General features: G+C 39.2%; 1 protein-coding gene, 1 long non-coding RNA gene and 2 pseudogenes across 14 annotated transcripts in view; 3 read left to right on the top strand and 1 right to left on the bottom strand.

Moving 5' to 3' along the window:
* The window catches only part of AFG1L (AFG1 like ATPase), a 230,948-nt gene that overhangs the window by 75,993 nt on the left and 131,411 nt on the right, over positions 1-23,544 (top strand). Inside the window, exon 7 of one of the 13 annotated variants that reach the window (XM_011535661.3) lies at positions 1,846-22,791. The exons of the other annotated variants lie outside the window; for them this stretch is intronic. Within the exon in view, the coding sequence (XP_011533963.1) occupies positions 1,846-1,862 (17 nt within the window). The 3' untranslated portion in view covers positions 1,863-22,791. Of the gene's footprint in view, positions 1-1,845; positions 22,792-23,544 lie in introns of those variants that run through there. 13 annotated transcript variants of the gene reach the window in all.
* Positions 1,729-1,881, bottom strand: LOC100506224 (translocase of outer mitochondrial membrane 5 homolog (yeast) pseudogene; annotated as a pseudogene).
* LOC124901371 (uncharacterized) lies at positions 8,849-22,791 on the top strand. Its single transcript, XR_007059699.1, has 2 exons — positions 8,849-8,928; positions 11,475-22,791. It is a non-coding gene; the product is annotated as an uncharacterized LOC124901371 (long non-coding RNA).
* RNU6-770P (RNA, U6 small nuclear 770, pseudogene) lies at positions 21,027-21,131 on the top strand (annotated as a pseudogene).

The following is a 23,544-nucleotide window of genomic DNA, read 5'->3' on the forward strand; positions in this document are numbered from 1 at the left end:
GCACTTCACTGTTTTTTCTAGCCCTAACTTCCAGTTCATGCCTTGTTTGGGTCCAAGGCCTCACCCTCTGTACACCATGCAGCTGTTAAAACCCCAAATCAGTATAAGCTTGTGATTACTACTTTATTTTTTGTTTTGTTTTATTTTTGTTTTGTTTTGTGACAGTCTCACTCTGTCACCCAGACTGGAGTGTAGTGGTGTGATACCACTACAAGACACTAGAAATGTTGTTTAAAATAAACTAAACAGGCTGGGTGTAATGGCTCATGCTTACAATCCCAGCTTTTTGGGAGGCCTAGGCAGGAAAATTGCTTGAGCGCAGGAGTTTGAGACTAGCCTGGGCAACATAATGAGACCCTATCTCTATAAAAAATTTAAAATGAGTTGGGCCTGGTGGCAAGTGGTACTGCTCACTGCATCCTCGACCTCCTGAGCCCAAGTGATCCTTCTGCCTTAGCCTTGTGAGTAGCTTGGACTACCAGGCCAAGCAAATTTTTAAATTTTTTGTAGATCTCCCTATGTTGCCCAGGCTGGTCTCAAACTCCTGTGCTGAAACTATTCTCCCACCTTAGCCTCCCAAAATGTTGGGATTATAGGCTTGAGTCCCTGTGCCTGGCATGATTACTATTTTAGTTTTTAGCTTTCTCTTTGTTTTTTGGTCTCTAGGGATTTTCCTTTCTGGCAGTCTCAAAATGTTTATTAAATTTAATTAACTAATTATTTATTTTTAGAGACAGAGTCTTACTCTGGCCCAGGCTGGAGTGCAGGGGTATGATTATGGCTTGCTGTAACTTTGAATGCGTGGGCTCAAACCATCCTCCTGCCTCAGCCTCCTGAGTTGCTAGGACTACAGGCATGTACCACTGTGCCCAACTAATTTTTAATTTTTTTTGTAGAGTTAGGGTCTCATTATGTTGCCCAGGCTAGTCTCAGACTCCTGGGCTCAAGTAGTTCTCCCTCCTAGTCCTCCCAAAAGGCTGGGATTATAAGCATGAGCCATCACGCCCAGCCTGTTTAGTTTATTTTAAATAACATTTCTAGTAGTAGTACTATTATGTATGTATATATATATATATTTCACTTTATATAAATTATGTAAATTCACTTTTTTTCATTTATTTCAAATATGTGATGACATAACTATAAAATTAACATTTGGTTATTTTCTTTATTTTTTAAATTTATTTTTATTTTTTGCTAGGAAAAGATTTTTATTTTATTTTTTTACTTACCAAATAGTTTTATATTTTAGCTATGAAGGTCAATTACCAGAGCCAAACTTGTTCTTTTTTTTTTTTTTTGAGACAGAGTCTTGCTCTGCCATCCAGGCTGGAGTGCAGTGGTGTAGTCTTGGCTCACTGCAACCTCCGCCTCCTGGGTTCAAGCGCCTCTCCTGCCTCAGCCTCCTGAGTAGCTGGGATTACAGGCACGCACTACCATGCCTGGTGAATTTTTGTATTTTTAGTAGAGATGGGGTTTCACTATGTTGGCCAGGCTGGTCTCAAACTCCTGACCTTGTGATCCGCCCACCTCGGCCTCCCAAAGTGCTGGGATTACAGGTGTGACCCACTGTACCTGGCCCAAACTTGTTCTTAACAAGTAAAATTGTTATGTCCATTAAGTCAAAGAGTCTCTTAAACCTTTCTGGGCCTATTTACTTGCAGAGAGGAGTAGAAACTGTAACCAGGTTCTTCATGTCATGCATTCACATGTGATGCCCAATCTTCATATGCTGTCCAGTTTCTTTAAGATAAAAAGAGTGATTCTCAGCAGGGCCATGTACAGGAGGAAGTTCTATATGGAGGAGAACACATCCTCATGCATCTTCTCTTTCACCTCCTCCAGGTCCAGCTTTGGCATGAGGCCCTCCATCCAGAACATCATGGTCTGACTCAGCATATGCCATGCTCTGCTCTTCTCAGTGGTTGCCTTGTGCCCAGAACTCAGCCTAGATTTTTATTTTTATTTATTTTTGTTTTTTACTTTTTTATTTTTCAACTTCTGTCTTAGATTCAGGGGGTACACGTGCAGGTTTGTTACCTATATATATTGCATGATGCTGAAGTTTGGGGTACAAATGATCCCATCACCTAGGTACTGAGCATAGTATCTAACAGTTAGTTTTTCCACCCTTACCCGCTTCTACCCTTCCCCTCTAGTAGTCCCCCGTGTCTATCATTCCCATCTTTATGTCCATGAGTACCCGATGTCTAGCTCCCACTCATAAGTGAGAACATGTGGTATATGGTTTTTTTGTTCCTGCATTAATTCATTTAGGCTAATGGCCTCGAGCTGCATCCATGTTGCTGCAAAAGACATGATTTCATTCTTTTTATGGCTGTGTAGTACTCCTTGGTGTATATGTACCACATTTTCCTCATCCAGTCGTCATTAATGGGTACCTGGGTTGATGCTATGACTTTGCTATTGTGAATAGTGCTGTGATGAATGTGCAAATGCATGTCTTTTGGTAGAATGATTTGTTTTCTGTTGGATAGACACCCAGTAATGGGATTGCTGGGTCAAATGGTAGTTCTGAGATTTTTTTTTTTTTTTTTTGAGATGGAGTCTAGCTTTGTTACTCAGGCTGGAATGCAGTGACATGATCTCGGCTCTGCCTCCCAGGTTCAAGTGATTCTCCTGCGTCAGCCTCTCGAGTAGCTGGGACTACAGGCATGCGCCACCATGCCCGGCTAATTTTTGTAGTTTTAGTAGAAGATGGGGTTTCACCATATTGGCCAGACTGGTCTCGAACTCCTGACATCAAGTGATCCACTTGCCTCGGCCTCCCAAAGTGGTGGGATTACAGGCGTGAGCCACTGCGCCTGGCCGGTAGTTCTGTTTTAAGTTTTTTGAGATGTCTCCAAACTGCTTTCCACAGTGGCTGAACTAATTTACATTCCCACCAATGGTGTATAAGCATTCCCTTTTCTCCACAGCCTCACCAGCATCTGTTATTTTTTACTTTTTAATACAAGCCATTCTGACTGGTGTGAGATGGTATCTCATTGTGGTTTTCATTTGTGTTTCTCTCGTGATTGGTGATGTGGATTTTTTTTTATATGTTTGTTGGCCACTGTGTGTCTTCTTTTGAGAAGTGTCTGTTCATTTCTTTTGCCCATGTTTTAATGGAGTTATTTGTTTTTTGCTTGTTCAGTTGTTTAATTTGCTTATAGATTCTGGATATTAGACCTTTGTCAGATGCATAGCTTGCAAATATTTTATCCCTTTCTGTAGGTTGTCTCTTTACTCTGTGGATAGTTGCTTTTACTGTGCAGAAGTTCTTTAGTTTAATTAGGCCTTACTTACAAATTTTTGTTTTTGTTGCAATTGTTTTTGAGGACTTAGTAATAAATTGTTTCCCAAGACTGATATTCAGAATGGTGTTCCCTAGATTTTCATCTAGGATTCTTATAGTTTGAAGTCTTACGTTTAAATCTTTGATTCATCTTGAGTTAATTTTTGCATATGGTGAAAGGTCCAGTTTCATTCTTCGGCATATGGCTAGCCAGCTATCCCAGCATCATTTATTGAATAGGGAGTCCTTTCCCCATTGCTTATTTTTGTCAACTTTGTTGAATATCAAATGGCTTTAGGTGTATAGCTTTATTTCTGTGTTCCTTATTTCATTCCATTGGTCTATATGTCTGTTTTGGTACCAGTACCATGCTATTTTGGTTACCATAGCCTTATGGTATAGTTTGAAGTTGGTTAATGTGATGCCTTTGGCTTTGTTCCTTTTGTTTAGGGTTGCTTTGGTTATTTTGGCTCCTTTTTGGTTCCATATGAATTTTAGAATAGTTTTTTCCAAATCTGTGAAAAATGACATTGGTAGTTTGATAGGAATAGCATTGAATTCATAGATTGCTTTGGGCAGTATGGCCATTTTAATGACATAGATTCTTCCAATCCATGAGCCTGGAATATTTCTCCATTTCTTTGTGTCGTCTATGTCTTTTAGCAGTGTTTTGTAGTTCTCCTTGTAGAGATCTTTCTCCTCCTTGGTTAGATGTATTCGTAGGCATTTTTTGTGTGTATGGCTATTACAAATGGGATTGCATTCTTGATTTGGCTCTCAGTTTGAATGTTATTGGTGTATAGAAATGCTACTGATTTTTATATATTGATTTTGGTATCCTGAAACTTTCCTGAAGTTATTTATTAGTTCCAGGAGACTTTTGATGGAGTCTTTAGAGTTTTCAAGGTATAGAATCATACTGTCTGTGAAGAAAAATAGTTTGATTTCTCCTTTTCCAATTTGGATTCCTTTTATTTCTTCCTCTTGCCTGATTGCTCTGGCTAGCACTTACAGTACATGAATAGGAGTGGTGAGAGTGGACATCCTTTCTTATTCCAGTTCTCAAAGGGAATGCTTCCAGTTTTTGCCCATTTAGTATGATGTTGGCTGTGTTTATGTCATAGATGGCTCTTATTATTTTTTAGGTGTGTTCCTGCGGTGTCTAGTTTCTTGAGGGTTTTTATCATGAAAGGATGTTGGATTTTACTTAAAACTTTTTCTGCATCTATTGAGATGATTCTATGGTTTTTGTTTTTAATTCTGTCTATGTGGTGAATCACATTTATTGATTTGTGTATGTTGAACCAACCTTGCATCCCAGGACTGAGGCCTACTTGATTATCATGAATTAACTTTTTTTGGTGTGTTGTTGAATTCAGTTTTCTAGTATTTTTTGAGGATTTTGGTATCTGTGCCCATCAGGGATATCAGCCTTTTTATTGTCTCTTTGCCAGGTTTTGGTACTAGGGTGATACTGGCTTTGTAGAATGAGTTAGGGAGGAGTCTCTCCTCAGTTTTTTGAAATAGTTTCAGTAGAATTGGTACCGGCTCTTCTTTGTATGTCTGGTAGAATTTGTGTGAATCCATTTCTGGTCTAGGGCTTTTTTGGATTAGTAGGTTTTTAATTATTGATTCAATTTTGGAACTTGATATTGGTCTGTTTGGTGTTTCGATTTCTTTCTGATTCAATCTTGGGAGATTGTATGTTTCCAGGAATTAATCCATTTCCTCTAGATTTTCTAGTTTGTGTGCATAGAGGTGTTCATATTAGTCTCTGAGGATCTTTTGTATTTCTGTGGGATTGGTTGGAATGTCACCTTTGTCATTTCTGATTGTGCTTATTTGGATTTTCTCTCTCTTTTTCTTTTTTAATCTAGCTAGCAGTCTATAGATCTTGTTTATCCTTTCAAAGAACCAACTTTTGGTTTCGCTGATTCTTTGTGTGGATTTTTGAGTCTCAATTTTGTTCAGTTGTGCTCTGATTTTAGTTTTCTTCTGCTAGCTTTGGGGTTAGTTTGTTTTTGTTTTTTTCTAGTTCTTCTAGGTGTGATGTTGGATTGTTGATTAGTATCTCTGGGATATGGCTTTTGCTATATCGCAGAGATTTTGGGATATTGTGTCTTTGTTTTTATTTATTTCAAAGAATCTTTTGATTTCAGCCTTGATTTTATTGTTTACCCCAAAGTCATTCAGGAGCAAGTTGTTTAATTTCCATGTAATTGTGTGGTTTTGAGAGATCTTCTTGGTATTGATTTCTATTTTTATTCTACTGTGGTCCAAGAGTATGGTTGATATGATTTTGATTTTTAAAAAATTTATCAAGACTTGCTTTATGATTGAGCATGTGGTTAATCTTGGGGTATGTTCTGTGTGCAGATGAGAAGAATGTATATTTGTGGTCGATATATAGAGTATTCTGTACATATCTATTAGTCCAATTGGTCAACTGTTAAGTCCAGAATGTCTTTGTTAATTTCCTGTCAGTGGGGCGTTGAAGTCCCCTACTATTATTGTGTGGCTCTCTAAGTCTTTTTGTAAGTTTATAGGTACTTGTTTTATGAATCTGGATGCTCCGATGTTGGATACATATATATTTAGGATAGTTAACTTTTATTGAATATAACCCTTTATCATTATGTAATGCCCTTCTTTGTATGTTTTTGCCGTTGTTGGTTTAAAGTCTATTTAATCTGATAATAAGATTTTTTTGGTCTTTTTTTTCTGCCTTTTTTTTTGGTTTTCTTTTTGCATGGTAGATCTTTCTCCACCCCTTTACTTGGAGCGTATGGGTGTCATTACATGTGAGATGCGTCTCTTGAAGACAACAGATGGATGGGTCTTGTTTCTTTATCCAACTTGCCACTCTTTGCCTTGTAAGTGGGGCATTTAGACCATTTACATTCAAGGTTAATATTGATATGTGAAGTTTTGATCCTATTGTGAAGTTGTTAGCTGTTTGCTTTGTAGTTTCTATTGTTTTTTTCTTTATAGGGTCTGTGGGCTATGTACTTAAGTGTGTTTTTGTGGTAGCAGGTATCATTCTTTTATTTCCATATTTAGGACTCCCTTAGGGATCTATTGTAAGGCTGCTCTAGTGGTAACACATTCCTTTGGCACTTGCTTGTCTGGAAAAGATTTTATTTCTTCTTTGCTATGAAACTTAATTTGGCAGAATATGAAATTCTTGGTTGGAGTTTCTTTTCTTTAAGAATGCTGATAATTGGCTCCCAATCTCTCCTGGTTTGCAAGGTTTCTGCTGACAGGTCCACTGTTAGCCTGATGGGGTTCCTTTTGTACATAATCTGCCCCTTTTCTCTAGCTGCCTTTAAGATTTTTTCTTTAACACTGACCTTGGACAGTATGGTGACTATATATGTCTTGGTGATGTTCATTTTGTATATAGTATCTTGCAGGTGTTCTCTGGATTTCTTGTGTCTGGATGTCTACCTCCCTGGCAAGATAAGGAAAGTTTCCTTTTTTTTTTTTTTGACATTTTTCACAAATTTATTTATCCATGTTCTAAGGACTAGGGAAGTTTTCTTGAATTATTGCCTCAAATATATTTTCCAAGTTGTTTGCTTTTTCTCCTTCTCTCTCAGGAATGCCAATAATTTGAAGGTTTGGTTGCATTACATAATCCCACATTTCTCAAATAATTTACTTATTTTACTTATTTTTAAAAATTCTTCTTTTTTTTTTTTTTGGTCAGATTGGGTTCGTTCAAAAGACCAGTCTTGAAGTCCTGAAATTCTTTCTTCTGCTTGGTCCAGTCCATTTATAAAGCTTTCAATTTTATTTTGAAATTCCTTAAGTGAGCTTTTTAATTCTAGAGGCTCTGATTGATTTCTTTTTGAGATGTTTATCTCTTCATTTCCTGGATTGCTTTAGAAGTTTCTTTGTCTCAATTTTTAACTTTGTCTTGGATCTCCATGAGCTTCCTTGCAAGCCATGCTTTGAAGTTGTTTTTTTGTTTGTTTGTTTGTTTGTTTTTTTGATACAGAGTCTCACTCTGCTGCCCAGGCTGGAGTGCAGTCATGTAATCTGAGCTTACTGCAACCTCCACCTCCCAGGTTCAAGTGATTCTCTGCCTCAGCTTCCTGAGTAGCTGGGATTACAGGCACATGCCACCACGCCCAGCTAATTTTTGTATTTTTAGTAGAGATGGGGTTTCACCATATTGGCCAGGCTGGTCTCGAACTCCCGACCTCAGGTGATCTGGCCACCTTGGCCTCCCAAAGTGCTGGGATTACAGGCATAAGCCACCACACCCGGCCTATGCTTTGAGTTCCTTATCTGTTATTTCTGAGTTTCTATTTTGGTTAGGTACCATTGCTGGAGATCTAGTGAAATTTTTTGGTGGTGTCACTACCTTCAGCTTTTTCATGGTGCCAGAATTCTTGTGCTGGTTCCTTCTCATCTGGAGACCCTGGCACTTCTGATTTTTGTAATTATTTTCATGCACGTAGGATTTTTTTCTTTTTCTTTTTTTTCCCTGTAATGTTGTTGTTATTATTATTATTATTATTAATTCTTCTTTCCTTTCCCTTTTCCCTGCTTGCCTAGGGGATGTGACTGTAGAGAATGCTTGGTAAGATCTTTTGGCTTTGCTTGAACAGCCCTATGCTGCTGCTGCTGCTCTTCTCCTTCTCCTTCTTCTTTTTTTTTTTTTTTTTTTTGGAGATAGAGTCTCACTTAGTCACCCAGACTGGAGTGCAGAGTGCAGTGGCCTGATCTTGGCTTACTACAACCTCCTCCTCCCAGGTCTGAGCAATTCTCCTGCCTCAGCCTCCTGAGTAGCTGGGATTGCAGGCACCCACTACCATGCCTGGCTAAGTTTTGTATTTTTAGTAGAGACAGGGTTTCACCTTGTTTGCCATACTGGTCTTGATCTCCTGACCCAAGTGATCCGTCCACCTTAGCCTCCCAAGGTGCTGGGATTACAGGCATGAGCCACCGCGCCCGGCTGCCCTATGTACTTCTTTCAGCATGTTTTATATTGGGCTGTGGAGTTTGTCTTACAAGCCTGTAGATGGCATGCACAGGTGAGAGCCAGCTACAGCCAGTGTGTTTGGGTATATACTTGATCCTTATTTACTGGCAGAAGCTCTCTGTTGCTCCAGGCGATTAGCTGATTTGTAGAATGCACAGTGGTCTGCACTCCTTGTTCAGCTCTGGTGGTGACAGGGGTTGGGAGGGTGGCAATGGGAGCCGTGAAGGGCAGAGGCAGACCTGGCAAATCTGCCTGCAGGTCCCCTGATGGTAGGCACAAGCACTAGTGCCAAGAGAGAATCCAGTGGGTGACCATGAGGTACCCAAAGGTTTTCCTAGGTGTGGAGCTGGGAAACCTGCTCAGCTCCAAATTCTCTGCATGAGGATGAGGAGATGCCCTAAGCTCCTCATCCAGGAGAGTGGGTGCTCCAGATGCCTGGCGCACTGCCTGGACATGGAGCAGAGAGGGTCTTGCTGCACTATGATCTATACCCAGGAAGCGTGGGGCAGCTTAGGCTGCTGAACCAGATGAGAGGGTGCTCTGAATGCCTGGAGATCTGCCTGGTTGTGAGGCAGAGAGGGCCTCTCCATACCAGACTCTCTGCACAGGAAGAGTGGGGCAGGTCAAGCTGCCGATCCAGGTGAGTGATGCTCCAGATGCCTGGAGATTTGCCTGGGCATGGAGCAGAGAGGGCCCCCGTGCACCAAGATCTTTACACAGGAGGGGTGGGGCAACTTAGGCTGCTGGAACGTGCACGCAGGTGGTCTGAATGCCTGGAGATCTTCCTGGGCATGTAACAGAGAGGGTCCCCCTGCACCAGGATCTCTGTTCAGGAAGGGTGGGGCAGCTTAGGCTGCTGAACCCGGCAAACAGGTGTTCTAAGTGCCTGGAGATCTGCCTAGGTGTGAAGCAGAGAGAGCCTCGCAGCACCGCAATCTGTGTCCAGGAAGGGTGGGGTGGCTTGGGCTACTGGTTCAGGCAAGTACGTATTCCAAATGCCTGGATTTCTGCCTGGGGTTGGAAGAGAGAGGGCCCTGCTGCACCATGATCTCAGGGAAGCAGAGTGGGGCACCCAATAATGGCACACACAGATCAGTTGCAGGTTTCCAAGCTGGCCCTGGCTGCAAGTCTCGCCACCCAGGAGAAACTGCAGCTGTAGCAGCTCTCTTCCGTGCCAGGCTTGTGACAGGGGAGAGCACAATTCCAGCACCTACTGCTGAAGCACTTTCCACAGTTCTGGATGTGGAGGCCCCCTATCCAACTCTGGAGCAGGTGTTCCAATCTCTGGCCTGAGACTAAAATGCCCATACAGCCATGCTGCAGGTCACCAAAGAATGGCCGAGATTAAAAATGGTGTCCTGCTCTCAGTCTCAGATCTGGGAAAATGCCTGCAGCATTTCCCAGTGTCTTTCCTTCACAGTGTCTCCAATCCTCTCCTCAAGTTAACTCTCGGGCTTGGGAGAAGCAAAATGCTTTCCCTTGGCCTGGGTTGCTTGGATCCCCAGTGGAAAGGTGAGTCACAGAGGAGACTTCTTCCTTTCTCACATACTGGGGCTTCACTCATCTCTATCAGCTGGATGCTATCATGGGGGCTGTTTTCTGGCATTCTCCTCCGTGGGTTCTGGGATGTCCTTTATGATTCTGGTAGATTTCCATTTTCCTCCTTGAATTAAAACTCACAGAGTTTATCTTTATATACTATCTTGCTATTTCCAAGTGTCTGAGGCAGGCTGAAAGCCGCTAATCCACCATCTTGGAAAAAAGCCAACCAAAAACACTCATTTTATATTTCATGGGACAATCTGGTTAAGGCTCTTGAACCTGAAATAAAGAGGATCTTGGATCAGATCCATAGGAATAGGAAATTATTTGAAAAGTTTCAGATAAAATATACACAGAGAGAGTTCGTATTTAATTTCTTATTTTTATAAAGCTTCAAGTAAATTATTCATTCAGCAATTTTGTCATTTAGGTAAATATCTTAATGTCTACATACAAGTAGATACATTTTTACTTTTCTTTTTTTTTTTTAATCAGAAGAGACCTGGATTATGGTTTTTACTTTTCAAAGATTCTAGTGTCAGGACCTGGGTGCATTTGCACATGTCTGTCATCCTAGCTACTTGGGAGGCTGAGGCAGGAGAATCGCTTGAGTCCAGGAGTTCAAGGCTACAGTGAGCTACAGTCATGCCTATGAATAGCCACTGACTCTAGCCTGGACAACATAGGAAGACCTTGTCTCTGGAAAAAAAAAAATTATAGTGTCAAGTCATCAGAATAGCTAGAAACAAAAATCCATGATTTGAAATTTCACATACGTGATTCTCACGTTTTAGGTACTGCAATAAAATTTTGTTAATTTCATGACATTCCAATAGGGAAATATAATACGACTGATTTAAGTGGATGAAGACTCTGACAACAAATTAATAATAGACTAGTAGGTTAAATTAGTTAAACATTTGAAATTAAATTAATAGTTCAACTTGAGAAATTTATTCAATCAAAAATAGAAATACATTTTTATGGGGAAATAGACTACATGAATTGAAATGACTATGCTTCTTTGGCAGATTAACAGAAGGTGCTAAAAATGTCCCATGCTGACTGACCCTAGAACTGTAAGAGCAGTGAACTTTGGAGTTTCTGGTTTTTATTCACTGTTTTTTTTTTTTTTTTTTTTGAGATGGAGCTTTGCTCTTGTTGTCCAGGCTGGAGTGCAATGGCACAGTCTCGGCTCACTGCAACCTCTGCCTGCCAGGTTTAAGCGATTTTCCTGCCTCAGCCTCCCGAGTAGCTGGGATTACAGGCACGCGCCACCACACCTGGCTAATTTTGTATTTTTAGTAGAGACGGGGTTTCTCCATGTTGGTCAAGCTGGTCTCGAACTCCCGACCTCAGGTGATCCACCCGCCTTGGCTTCCCAAAGTGCTGGGATTACAGGTGTGAGCCACCGCGCCTGGCTATTCACTGTTTATTATAATGAAAATGCATTAGATAGCATTAGAATGTCAAAATAATACTATTTTTCTTAGATTATCAGGCAATGGCATTATGTGATTCCTACTCAGACCAGCATATTCATACTAAATAAAAGACTGAATATCACTAGAAAGTTGGCTAACAGTTATGGGTATGCACGTACACACACATACTAATTTTAATTTATTATTTTAATGCTTCTAGGGGGAAAAAATACAATGTTCATCACCTTAAAGGCCGACAAAGCATTTGGCAAAATTCAACATTTCTTCATAGAATCACTTCATAAAATATAAGTAAATGAATAGTTCCTTAATATGAATACCAAATGTATGTATCTTAGTTAAAAAGTCTGAATTATGCTTAGCAGGGAAACTATGGAGGCATTTCTGTCACAGTTATGAACACATCCAGGATGACAATGATTACTTTTTAATATTGAACTAAAGTACAGACAGATTATGACAACAACTAGGTGGGAAGTGAGGGAAACTAGGAAAAAGCCACATATCTTGATTGTAGAGTTGCATCAGAATTAGACCTTGTTCAAGATTATATACACGTGCTTAAGAAAATACCCTAATATGAGAACAACAAAAGATACTGCAGCAATAAATCTAATTCTTAAAAGGTGAAAGAAGCTGAGTGCCGTGGCTTATGCCTTATAATCCCATCACTTTGGAAGGCCAGGTGGGTGGATCACTTGAGGCCAGGAGTTGGAGACCAGCTTGGCCCACATGGTAAAACTCTGTCTCCACTAAAAATACAAAAAAATTTGTGGTGGTGCGCACCTGTAATTCTAGCTACTCAGGAAGCTGAAGCATGAGAATTGTTTGAACCCAGGAGGCGGAGGTTGCAGTGAACTGAGATCAGGCCACTACACTCCAGCCTGGGCAACAGAGCGAGTCTGTCTGAGTACATAAATAAATAAATTAAATTAAATTAAAAAGGTGAAAGAATAACATCCTTTTACAGATGATCTACTAGAGCAAAGAGAAGTATGTTTTAGGAATTTTTTGTTTTATATTATTCAAAAATCAGGAAAACATAGACTCTGCAATACAGATGATCCAAGCTGAGAAAAGACAACAGATTGAGCTGAAAACTGATTTACTGAGATCAGCTGTGATAAAAGAAAGCAAAATGAAATAGAAAGAGATTGAATTAATTAAAATTAAATAAATTAAAATTTTCAGTAGAAGCACTGAACTGTAGACTTAAAACTGAAGAAAGTGAAATCGGTCATGTAGGAAAACTAACATAAGAAGCTCTGCCAGAATACAGAAATAGAATAATAGAATGATGAAGAAAGGAAAAAGTCCTTTGGTTATAAATGATAATTTTGTTCCCTTTGCAGGGAGAGTTTACAGATCTTGAGGGGCAGTGTCATCAGTTGTAACACTGGTAATTGGAGACAGATACAGTCGAGCATTTTAGAATTTGAAATATGCCTTCTGCTTTTCAAATTACTTGAAAATCTTTTCTACAAAAGTAGAAAAGATGAAAGATCAAAGAAAAAATATTTCTTAGAGCAAAAGCTAGAAAACAGCAAAAAAGTATGAACAAAAAATGTGAAACAAGATCAGATATTTCACTGACAGGGAATATAAATGGGTTGAGTTCCCTATTAAAAACGAAAACCTCTTCAGTATATGTAAGGCCATAGCCAAATGATCTTTCTGCAGGTAATAATGATAAATTCTGAGCAAAATACTCTACACAACTATGTGAAGGTCCTGGAGAGTAAAAAAAAAAAAAAAAAAAGGCTGGCAGATTCTTGAGGAAAGACAACACTTGGAAGAATGTCCAGCATGGAGAGTTTCCTGTTTTTCATGATACCAGCCTCAGGGCAGGGTAAAGTCAGTGCTGCATTGATACCTGCTATTCTCATAGAAAATCCAGTCTTTCTGGCCTGAAAAACCAGATGACAGAGTTTGCGGTAAGAACTACTGCTGGAAAATGAGAAATGGATCCCAGAGAGAACTAGATTGGTATAGCCTGAGGTTCTGTGTGTAACCCCTGCCCAAATCTCAGACTGACTTCTGAACCATGCATATGCAGGGCAGACTAACAGCTACCCAACTAGGGGTAGGTCCAGAACTGAGATTTGAGTTGCTGCCCAAGAGAAGAGTTTGTAGTTTGAATCCAAGCAAGATAATTGCCTACTAAAGCAAAAATATCAACATTCTTCAGTGAAGAAAATGAAATTCACAGTATAACATTCACGAGGTCCAGGATACAATCCAAAATTGAAAATGAGGAAAATGTGTCCCATTCTGAAGACAAAAAGCAGTTAACAGAGACTATCCCCCAATATGAACTGGATTAGCAGACAACTATTATAAAGCAGCTGGGGAAGCAATTGCTGGGAGAGGGTGAGGTAAAGAAAATATGTTCAGAATGAGTGAAAAGACAAGAAATCTCAGCAGAGAACTGAAATCATAAAAAATTTAAATTCTAGAACTATAAAATATAATATCTTATATAAAAATTCACTTGATGGGCTTAATAGCAGAATGGAGATAACAGAGGAAAGGTTCAAATAACTTAAAATTATCCCATGTAAAGAATAGAAAGAGAATAATTAGAAGAAAAGAAACAGAGCATTAGGAATGTGAGGAACTGTGCAAGCTTCTAACATATTTCCAATTAGAATCCCAGAAGACAAAGAGGAGAGAATGAGGCAGAAAAACTTTTGAAAAAACAGTGACTGAAAAATTTCCAAATCTGAAACACATAAATTTATAGATTCCAGAAACTTAGTGAACTTAAAGCAGAATAAATTAAGCACACTTTAGTAAAACTGCTAAAAACCTAAGGTAAAGAGCAAATCTAGAAAGCAACCAGAGAAAACGTGACACATTAAATATAGAGGTTTTGGGAACAGGCCCCCAAAATCTGGCCATAAACTGGCCCAAAACTGGCCATAAACAAAATCTCTGCAGCACTGTGACACATTTGTGATGGCCATGATGCCCACGCTGAAGGTTGTGGGTGTACTGGAATGAGGGCAAGGAACACCTGGCCCACCCAGGGCGGAAAACCGCTTAAGGCGTTCTTAAACCACAAATGATAGCATGAGTGATCGATGCCTTAAGGACATGTTCTTGCTGCAGATAACTAGCCAGAGCCCATCCCTTTATTTCAGCCCATCCCTTTGTTTCCCATAAGGAATACTTGTAGTTAATCTATAATCCATAGAAAAAATGCTTATCACTGGCTTGCTGTCAATAAATATGTGGGTAAATCTCTGTTCGAGGCTCTCAGCTCTGAAGGCTGTGAGACCACTGATTTCCCACTCCACACGCTATATTTCTGTACGTGTGTCTTTAATTTCTCTAGCGCCGCTGGGTTAGGGTCTCCACAAGCGAGCTGGTCTCTGCATGGAGGAGTGATGATTGGGAACTGATGACTTCTGTTAGAAACTTTGGAGCTCAGAGACAGTGGAACATCTTTAAAATGTTGAGAGGAAGAACCATCAACTTAGAATCTTATTCTAGAACTTCCTGCGAGAATGAAGACAGTAGCTCACACCTGTAATCCCAGTGCTTTGGGAGGCTGAGGCAGGAGGATTGCTTGGGGCTAGGAGTTTAAGACCTACCTGAGCAACATAGTGAGACCCCATCTCTACAAGAAATTTAGAAAAAATTAGCTGGTGTGGTGGCACATGCCTGCAGTGGGAGCTTCTCAGGAGGCTGAGGTTGGGGAATCACTTGAGCCCACAAATTTGAGGCTGCAGTGAGCTATAATTGTGCCACTGCACTCTAGCCTGGGCAACAGAATGAGACTCTGTCTCTCAAATAAATAAATAAAAGAATGAAGGCAAAATAAAGACATTCTAAGATTAAAAAGAAAAATGCCTCTCCTGGGCATGGTGGCTTATGCCTGTAATCTCAGCACTTTGGGAGGCCAAGGCGGGTGGATCACCTGAGGTCAGAAGTTTGAGACCAGCCTGGCCAACATGGTGAAACCCTGTCTCTACCAAAAATACAAAATTAGCTGGGCATGGTGGCGCATACCTGTAATCCCAGCTATTTGGGGGGCTGGGGCAGGAGAATCGCTTGAACTTGAGAGGCAGAGGTTGCAGTGAGCCAAGATAGTGCCATTGCACTCCAGCTTAGACAACAAGAGCAAAACTCCATCTCAAAAAAAAAAAGAAAAGAAAAGAAAAGAAAAATACCTAAGAGAATTTATCACCAACAAACTTGTACTACAAGAGATTCCAAAACATGTTCTTCAGGTAGAAGGAAAATAATGGGTGGGTACTTCAGTGATGAAGAAGTGAAATGCATCAGAAATGAAAATGGTGAATAGTGGGGTAAATATAAGCACTAGTTTTTTCTCTTAGTTTCTTTAAAATGTAATTGATTGTTTTACATAAAACTATAGTGTTGTCTTATAGAGTTTATAGTGTATGTAGATGTGATACATGTGACACCAGTAGCAGAAAGGGGGATGTTTAGTTGGTTCTATACGAATGCAGTGTTTCTACATTTTTTTGAAGTGATATGATATTCTAAGTAGAGCATGAAAAGCTAAGGATGTATATTGTAATCATAGAACAACAACTAAAATAAAGGCTGATAGATTAAATTAAAAAGGAATTTTAAAATGTATTCAAATAATCCAAAAAATGTAGGCAAAAAGTAAAAGAAGGGACAGAAGGAAAACAAATAATAAAATCATGGACCTAAATATTAAATGTTAATGAACATTCCAATTAAAAGGTAGAGATTATCAGAACAAATTTAAAAAATACCAAGAGATATACTTTAAAAATAAAGACACAGATAGATCAAAAGCAATTGTATGCAAAAAGATATAGCATCCAAACAGTAATGATACGATGGCTAACATGGATGTATTAGTGCCAGATTAAATAAACTTCAGGAAAAGCTGGGCTTCTCTTTCACAGCAAAGATGGATTCTGAGGTGGATGGGGAGTTCAGCTTCCCAGGGTGGCTTCCCAAGGTGGCGAAGGCTGTGGCCACACCATGGTCTCAGATGCTGAGGCAGGCCTATGTGACTGCCAGTGGGTAGGCCATGGTGAGTGGAGAAAACAGGCAGTTGTCCCCTCTGCATGCCCTGCACATACACCTGGGCTATGGGCCCCACCAGCGGATGTTTGTGCAGGGCTCAGCCTTTCCCTCGTTGGTTTCTGGCAGAACTAGGCCTGTGTCCCTTGTTCCTGGGCCATAGTGCTGAAGTTTGTCTTCTAGGGATTAGGTTGTAGATAAATCAAGTATTGTATGGTGGCTTGTGGAAGACAGTTTTGACTCTAAGATCAGTTCAACAACCGTTAGCTTCAGCTATAATCATTTATGATATCAAAAAGAAGAAATATTTTCAACATTAAGGAATTGATTACATGATTTTTAAGTTTTTTTTCTTTCTTGTATCAAGGGACAAGTCATAGATTAAAAAATTTTTGACAGCAAGCCCTATCTAATTTTATAGTTGACAAATGTGTGCTATTATCACAAAGGAGAAGTCAGAGAAAGATGCTACAGACTGCGCCAATTCATTCATACAATTTTTCTGTAGTTCAAAAACCACAATGTCTCACATTGTCTAGCAGCTAGAATTTTTTTATTTATTTATTTTTTTTTTTAGTTTAAGAAAAGCAAAAGACCACAGTGAACTTAAATGAACTCTTTAAACAAATGAGTTGAATAATTCCATCCACTTACACTAACACCCCATCTGGTAGTAAGGCCTTTAGACTCCAAAGACAATCTAGAGGCAAAGTGGAAGCTATTGTTGGCTGAGCCTCAGTCACTCATACTTCATAATGAAATAGATAGTTTTAAAAGTTAACAGGATGATTCTGGTCACTGCCATTAGTTTGTACATGGGTTTTGGGTCTTTTTCACACACAAAGGATTCCCAGAAATGTCTAAGTTTTGTTCTCTTTATCATTTTTTATTGCGTCTATTTGATTCTTCTCTCTTTTCTTCTTTATTAGTCTTGCTAGCGCTCTATCAATTTTGTTGATCCTTTCAAAAAACCAGCTCCTGGATTCATTAATTTTTTGAAGGGTTTTTTGTGTCTCTATTTCCTTCAGTTCTGCTCTGATTTTAGTTATTTCTTGCCTTCTGCTAGCTTTTGAATGTGTTTGCTCTTGCTTTTCTAGTTCTTTTAATTGTGATGTTAGGGTGTCAATTTTAGATCTTTCCTGCTTTCTCCTGTGGGCATTTAGTGCTATAAATTTCCCTCTGCACACTGCTTTGAATGTGTCCCAGAGATTCTGGTATGCTGTGTCTTTGTTCTTGTTGGTTTCAAAGAACATCTTTATTTCTGCCTTCATTTCGTTATGTACCCAGTAGTCATTCAGGAGCAGGTTGTTCAGTTTCCATGTAGTTGAGCGGTTTTGAGTGAGTTTCTTAATCCTGAGTTCTAGTTTGATTGCACTGTGGTCTGAGAGACAGTTTGTTATAATTTCTGTTCTTTTACATTTGCTGAGGAGAGCTTTACTTCCAACTATGTGGTCAATTTTGGAATAGGTGTGGTGTGGTGCTGAAAAAAATGTATATTCTGTTGATTTGGGGTGGAAAGTTCTGTAGATGTCTATTAGGTCTGCTTGGTGCAGAGCTGAGTTCAATTCCTGGGTATCCTTGTTAACTTTCTGTCTTGTTGATCTGTCTAATGTTGACAGTGGGGTGTTAAAGTCTCCCATTATTATTGTGTGGGAGTCTAAGTCTCTTTGTAGGTCACTCAGGACTTGCTTTATGAATCTGGGTGCTCCTGTATTGGGTGCATATATATTTAGGAGAGTTAGCTCTTCCTGTTGAATTGATCCCTTTACCATTATGTAATGGCCTTCTTTGTCTCTTTTGATCTTTGTTGGTTTAAAGTCTGTTTTTTGAGAGACTAGGATTGCAACCCCTGCCTTTTTTTGTTTTCCATTTGCTTGGTAGATCTTCCTCCATCCTTTTATTTTGAGCCTGTGTGTGTCTCTGCACGTGGGATGGGTTTCCTGAATACAGCACACTGATGGGTCTTGACTCTTTATCCAATTTGCCAGTCTGTGTCTTTTAATTGGAGCATTTAGTCCATTTACATTTAAAGTTAATATTGTTATGTGTGAATTTGATCCCGTCATTATGATGTTAACTGGTTATTTTGCTCGTTAGTGGATGCAGTTTCTTCCTAGCCTCGATGGTCTTTACAATTTGGCATGATTTTGCAGTGGCTAGTACCAGTTGTTCCTTTCCATGTTTAGTGCTTCCTTCAGGAGCTCTTTTAGGGCAGGCCTGGTGGTGACAAAATCTCTCAGCATTTGCTTGTCTGTAAAGTATTTTATTTCTCCTTCACTTATGAAGCTTAGTTTGGCTGGATATGAAATTCTGGGTTGAAAATTCTTTCCTTTAAGAATGTTGAATATTGGCCCCCACTCTCCTCTGGCTTGTAGAATTTCTGCCGAGAGATCCGCTGTTAGTGTGATGGGCTTCCCTTTGTGGGTAACCCGACCTTTCTCTCTGGGTGCCTTTAACATTTTTTCCTTCATTTCAACTTTGATGAATCTGACAATTACGTGTCTTGGAGTTGTTTTTCTCGAGGAGTATCTTTGTGGCGTTCTCTGTTTTTCCTGAATTTGAATGTTGACCTGCCTCGCTAGGTTGGGGAAGTTCTCCTGGATAATATCCTGAAGAGTGTTTTCCAACTTGGTTCCATTCTCCCTTTCACTTTCAGGTACACCAATCAGACGTAGATTTGGTCTTTTCACATAGTCCCATATTTCTTGGAGGCTTTGTTCATTTCTTTTTACTCTTTTTTCTCTAAACTTCTCTTCTCGCTTCATTTCAGCTTCATCACTGATATCCTTTCTTCCAGTTGATTGAATCGGCTACTGAAGCTTGTGCATTCATCATGTAGTTCTCATGCCATGATTTTCGGCTCCATCAGGCCATTTTAGGACTTCTCTACACTGGTTATTCTAGTTAGCCATTCGTCTAATCTTTTTTCAAGGTTTTTAGCTTCTTTGAGTTGGGTTCGAACTTCCTCCTTTAGCTTGGAGAAGTTTGATCGTCTGAATCCTTCTTCTCTCAACTTGTCAAAGTCATTCTCTGTCCAGCTTTGTACCGTTGCTAGCGAGGAGCTGCGTTCCTTTGGAGGGGGAGAGGTGCTCTGATTTTTAGAATTTTCAGCTTTTCTGCTTGTTATTTCCCCATCTTTGTGGTTTTATCTACCTTTGGTCTTTGATGATGGTGACTTACAGATGGCGTTTTGGTGTGGATGTCCTTTCTGTTTGTTAGTTTTCCTTCTAACTGTCAGGACCCTCAGCTGCAGGTCTGTTGGAGTTTGCTGGAGGTCCACTCCAGACGCTGTTTGCCTGGGCATCAGCATTGGAGGCTGCAAACAGCGAATATTGCTGAACAGCAAATGTTGCTGCATGATCATTCCTCTGGAAGCTTCGTCTCAGAGGGGTACCCACTGTGTGAGGTGTCAGTCTGACCCTGCTGGGGGGTGCCTCCCAGTTAGGCTGCTCCTGGGTCAGGGACCTACTTGAGGAGGCAGTCTGTCCTTTCTCAAATCTCAAACTCCATACTGGGAGAACCACTACTCTCTTCAAAGCTCAGTTGGAAATGCAGAAATCACCCGTCTTCTGCGTCGCTCACGCTGGGAGCTGTAGACTGGAGGTGTTCCTATTCGGCCATCTTGGAACCCCCATCACCCCACAATTTCTTTATGTATTTGTTGATTGATGGGCATTTGGGCTGGTTCCGTATTTTTGCAATTGCGAATTGTGCTGCTATAAACATGCATGTGCAGGTATCTTTTTTGTATAATGACCTCTTTTCCTCTGGGTAGATATCCAAGAGTGGGAGGTAGATACCCAAGAGTGGGATTGCTGGATCAAATGGAATTTCTACTGTTAATTCTTTAAGGAATCTTCACATTAGTGGTTGTACTAGTTTACATTCCCACCAGCAGTGTAGAAGTGTTCCTTTTTTACCGCATCCACACCAACATCTATTATTTTTTGATTTTTTGATTATGGCCATTCTTGCAGGAGTAAGGTGGTATTGCATTGTGGTTTTGATTTGCATTTCCCTGATCATTAGTGATGTTGAGCATTTTTTCATGTTTGTTGGCCATTTATGTACCTTCTTTTGAGAATTGTCTATTCATGTCCTTAGCCCACTTTTTGATGGGATTATTTATTTTTTTCTTGCCAACTTGTTTGAGTTCCTTGTAGATTCTGGATATCAGTCCTTTGTCAGTTGTATAAATTGTGAAGATTTTCTCCCACTCTGTGCGTTGTCTGTTTACTCTGCTGACTGTTCCTTTTGCTGGGCAGAAGCTCTTTAGTGTAGTTAAGTCCCACCTATTTATCTTTGGTTTTATTGCATATGCTTTTGGTTTCTTGGTCATGAAGTCTTTGTCTAAGCCAATGTCTAGAAGGGTTTTTTTGATGTTATCTTCTGGAATTTTTTGGATGAAACATTTTAAAAAGCCATGCAACAGAATGCGTTTCTAGAGGATGCATTTCTTGGTCCCTCAACTGCTTCATGTCTTTTCTCACCTAAAAAGTAATAATAATAAAAATACAGCGTACAGTACAAGGCTCAACATTGTAGGTAGAGACTGAAAGCCTGCCATTGTTAATGTTGTTTGCAACCAGCGTAGGTGTTCTGATGATGCTACCATGCTGCTTACTTACCATGAACACATTATTTTTTATTGTATTAATGATATGTCATATTTTTTCCTGTTGAGTATTTATATGTGAATAAGTATAAGAAAATGATTGCTGTGCTTGCTTTGGAAGCACATATATTAAAATTGGAATGATACAGAGAAGATTAGCATGGCTTCTGCACAAGGATAAGTTTTATTTAAAAGATGTAAAATTTTTTAAAAAAGAAAATGTTTGCTTATTGGTAGCATATAAAGACAGGAATGATGGTGATGCTTAACAACCACAGATTGTCCTCATGGGTGGCAGAGATAGTGATACCTTCGCTTTCTGATCATTAAATGTACACAGTCTTTGTTTCATGCACAAAATTATTAAAAATATTGTATAAAATTACTTTTAGGTGATGTATATAAGTTATATATGGAACATAAATGAATTTCTTGTTTAGACTTGGGTCTTACTTATTATGATTTGTGTACAGTGCCTGGCAAATTGTGTAGCTTCTAGTAGGTATTCTGTAAATCTTGGTTCCTCTTTTTATTTATCTGTTGTCTTCAGCACTCGTTTCAGTGAAGACATAGTAGAATTCATCAATGTGTGTTGAATTGAATATCAAGCTATAATATACTATCAAATGGGAACATTTAATGAGCTGTACTACCTACAGATTTAGTAAATTGTTGTTTGAACTTTAGTTCTTTTAAAAGAAGCTATTTCAGCAACAGCTGCTTAAATAGTCTATAGGTAGTCTTTTCTTTTAGTCTGTAATACAATAAGAATCTCCTAGAAGGATAAATCAAATTGGTTCCATGAAACCATAAAATTATTGTGTGATAATTTATAGGAAACCTCCTTTAACAACATGTTTTAAAAGTTTTTGTTACTCTAAATCGATATGTATATATATAAATAAGCATTATTCAGCTTCTTGGTTTGACACTTGGATTTTTAAGGAAAAGATCTGCGTATCCATGTGCATCTCCAAAATATTTATTTAGGTACTTGTAATTACTTTAAAAATCCTCTTTGTTTGTGTTTCATCTGTAGGTATTATAGCTATTCACTGTTGAGAATTTAGAGGTACTTATACCATTTTTTACAAAATGAATGTCCCATAATTCTAGCATTCTGTTTTATATGACCAAGTGCTCATTTCACTCTGTTTAGAGATCATGAAGGAATCATAGTCAAGAACTCCTGAATTTTAAAATAGTATTTAGTAATGACAAATGTTGATATAAATGTATTATGAAATCTTTATGTCTAAGAAAAATAATATTAAACAGCTAATATTAAAAATTTTGTTGGCTAAATAACATTTCAAGAGATGGATGTATTGCATTGATAATTAGCACGATATTTGAATTACAAAAAACTCTTCAATTTAATGCGTATGGTCCATTTTCACTTGTGTTCTATAAAAACCTAAAGGTTCTTAAGCCAAATGATTTCTGTTTAGAATTCTGTTTAGAATACATTTCTCAGAGCATATAGTTTTGGATGATATATATATCCTTGTAAAGGCTGATTTTTTAAAAAGTTCATCCTTTAAAAAATTAAGTCTGTAAGACTTAAAGGCATTGGTATTCTACTTTAACTTTGTTGATGAGTGGAAATCTTTTAATCAAGAATATTACAAGTGGGTCTTTACATCTCTCATTGTCATTAATGAACTAAAAGGTGCATACTTGTTAAACTACATCTCAGAGCCTTATACATCCATAAAAAAGATGTTATTCTACAAGTAGGACCAAAGTGTTACCTTAACATAGATGAACTTTCATTAGTGTAGTATCTTAGTTTTAATTCTATAACATTGTGCTCTTTAATAATCACTAATTATATGTATGGCTTTTTTCCCAATAAAATTTTTAAAGGGCTTATTGAAATATAGTTGACATATAATAGGCTGCACATAGTTAAAGGATACAATTTTTAAAATACTGACATATGTATACCTTCATGAGACCATTGCCACAACTAATAGAGTGAACATTTCCATCACCCCAAAAAGTTTCCTCTTGCCCTTTTCTCTTTTTCTTCTTCTTTCTTTCTCTCTCTGTCTTTCGCCTTCCCCTTCCCTTCCCTCCCTCCCTCCTCCTTTCCTTTCCTTCCTTTTCTCTCTTTTCTCTTTCTCTCTTTTCTTTCCTTTCCCCCTCCCCTCCCTTCCCTTCCCCTCCCCTCCCCTCCCCTCTCCTCTCCTTTCTTTCCAGAGTCTCACTCTGTTGCCCAGACTGGAGGGCAATGGCGCAGTCTTGGCTCACTGCAACCTTTGCCTCCTGAGTTCAAGTGATTCCCCTGCCTCAGCCTCCCAAGTAGCTGGGATTACAGGCATGTGCTACTACACCCGGCTAATCTTGTTTTTTTTTAGTAGAGATGGGGTTTCACCATGTTGGTCAGGCTGGTCTTGAACTCCTGACCTCAGGTGATCCACCTGCCTTGGCCTCCCAAAGGGATGGAATTACAGGCATGAGCCACCATGCCCGGCCTTGCCGTTTTTTTTATCTGTCACTACCAAACCTGTCGTCCCTTCCCCAGGCAGCTACTGATTAGCTTTCTGTTGCTATAGATTTGTTTGCATTTTCTAGAGTTTTATATAAATGGAGTCACATAGTATGTACTCATTTTTTT

This window comes from Homo sapiens, chromosome 6, assembly GCF_000001405.40.
Source record: "Homo sapiens chromosome 6, GRCh38.p14 Primary Assembly".
NCBI lineage: Eukaryota > Metazoa > Chordata > Mammalia > Primates > Hominidae > Homo > Homo sapiens.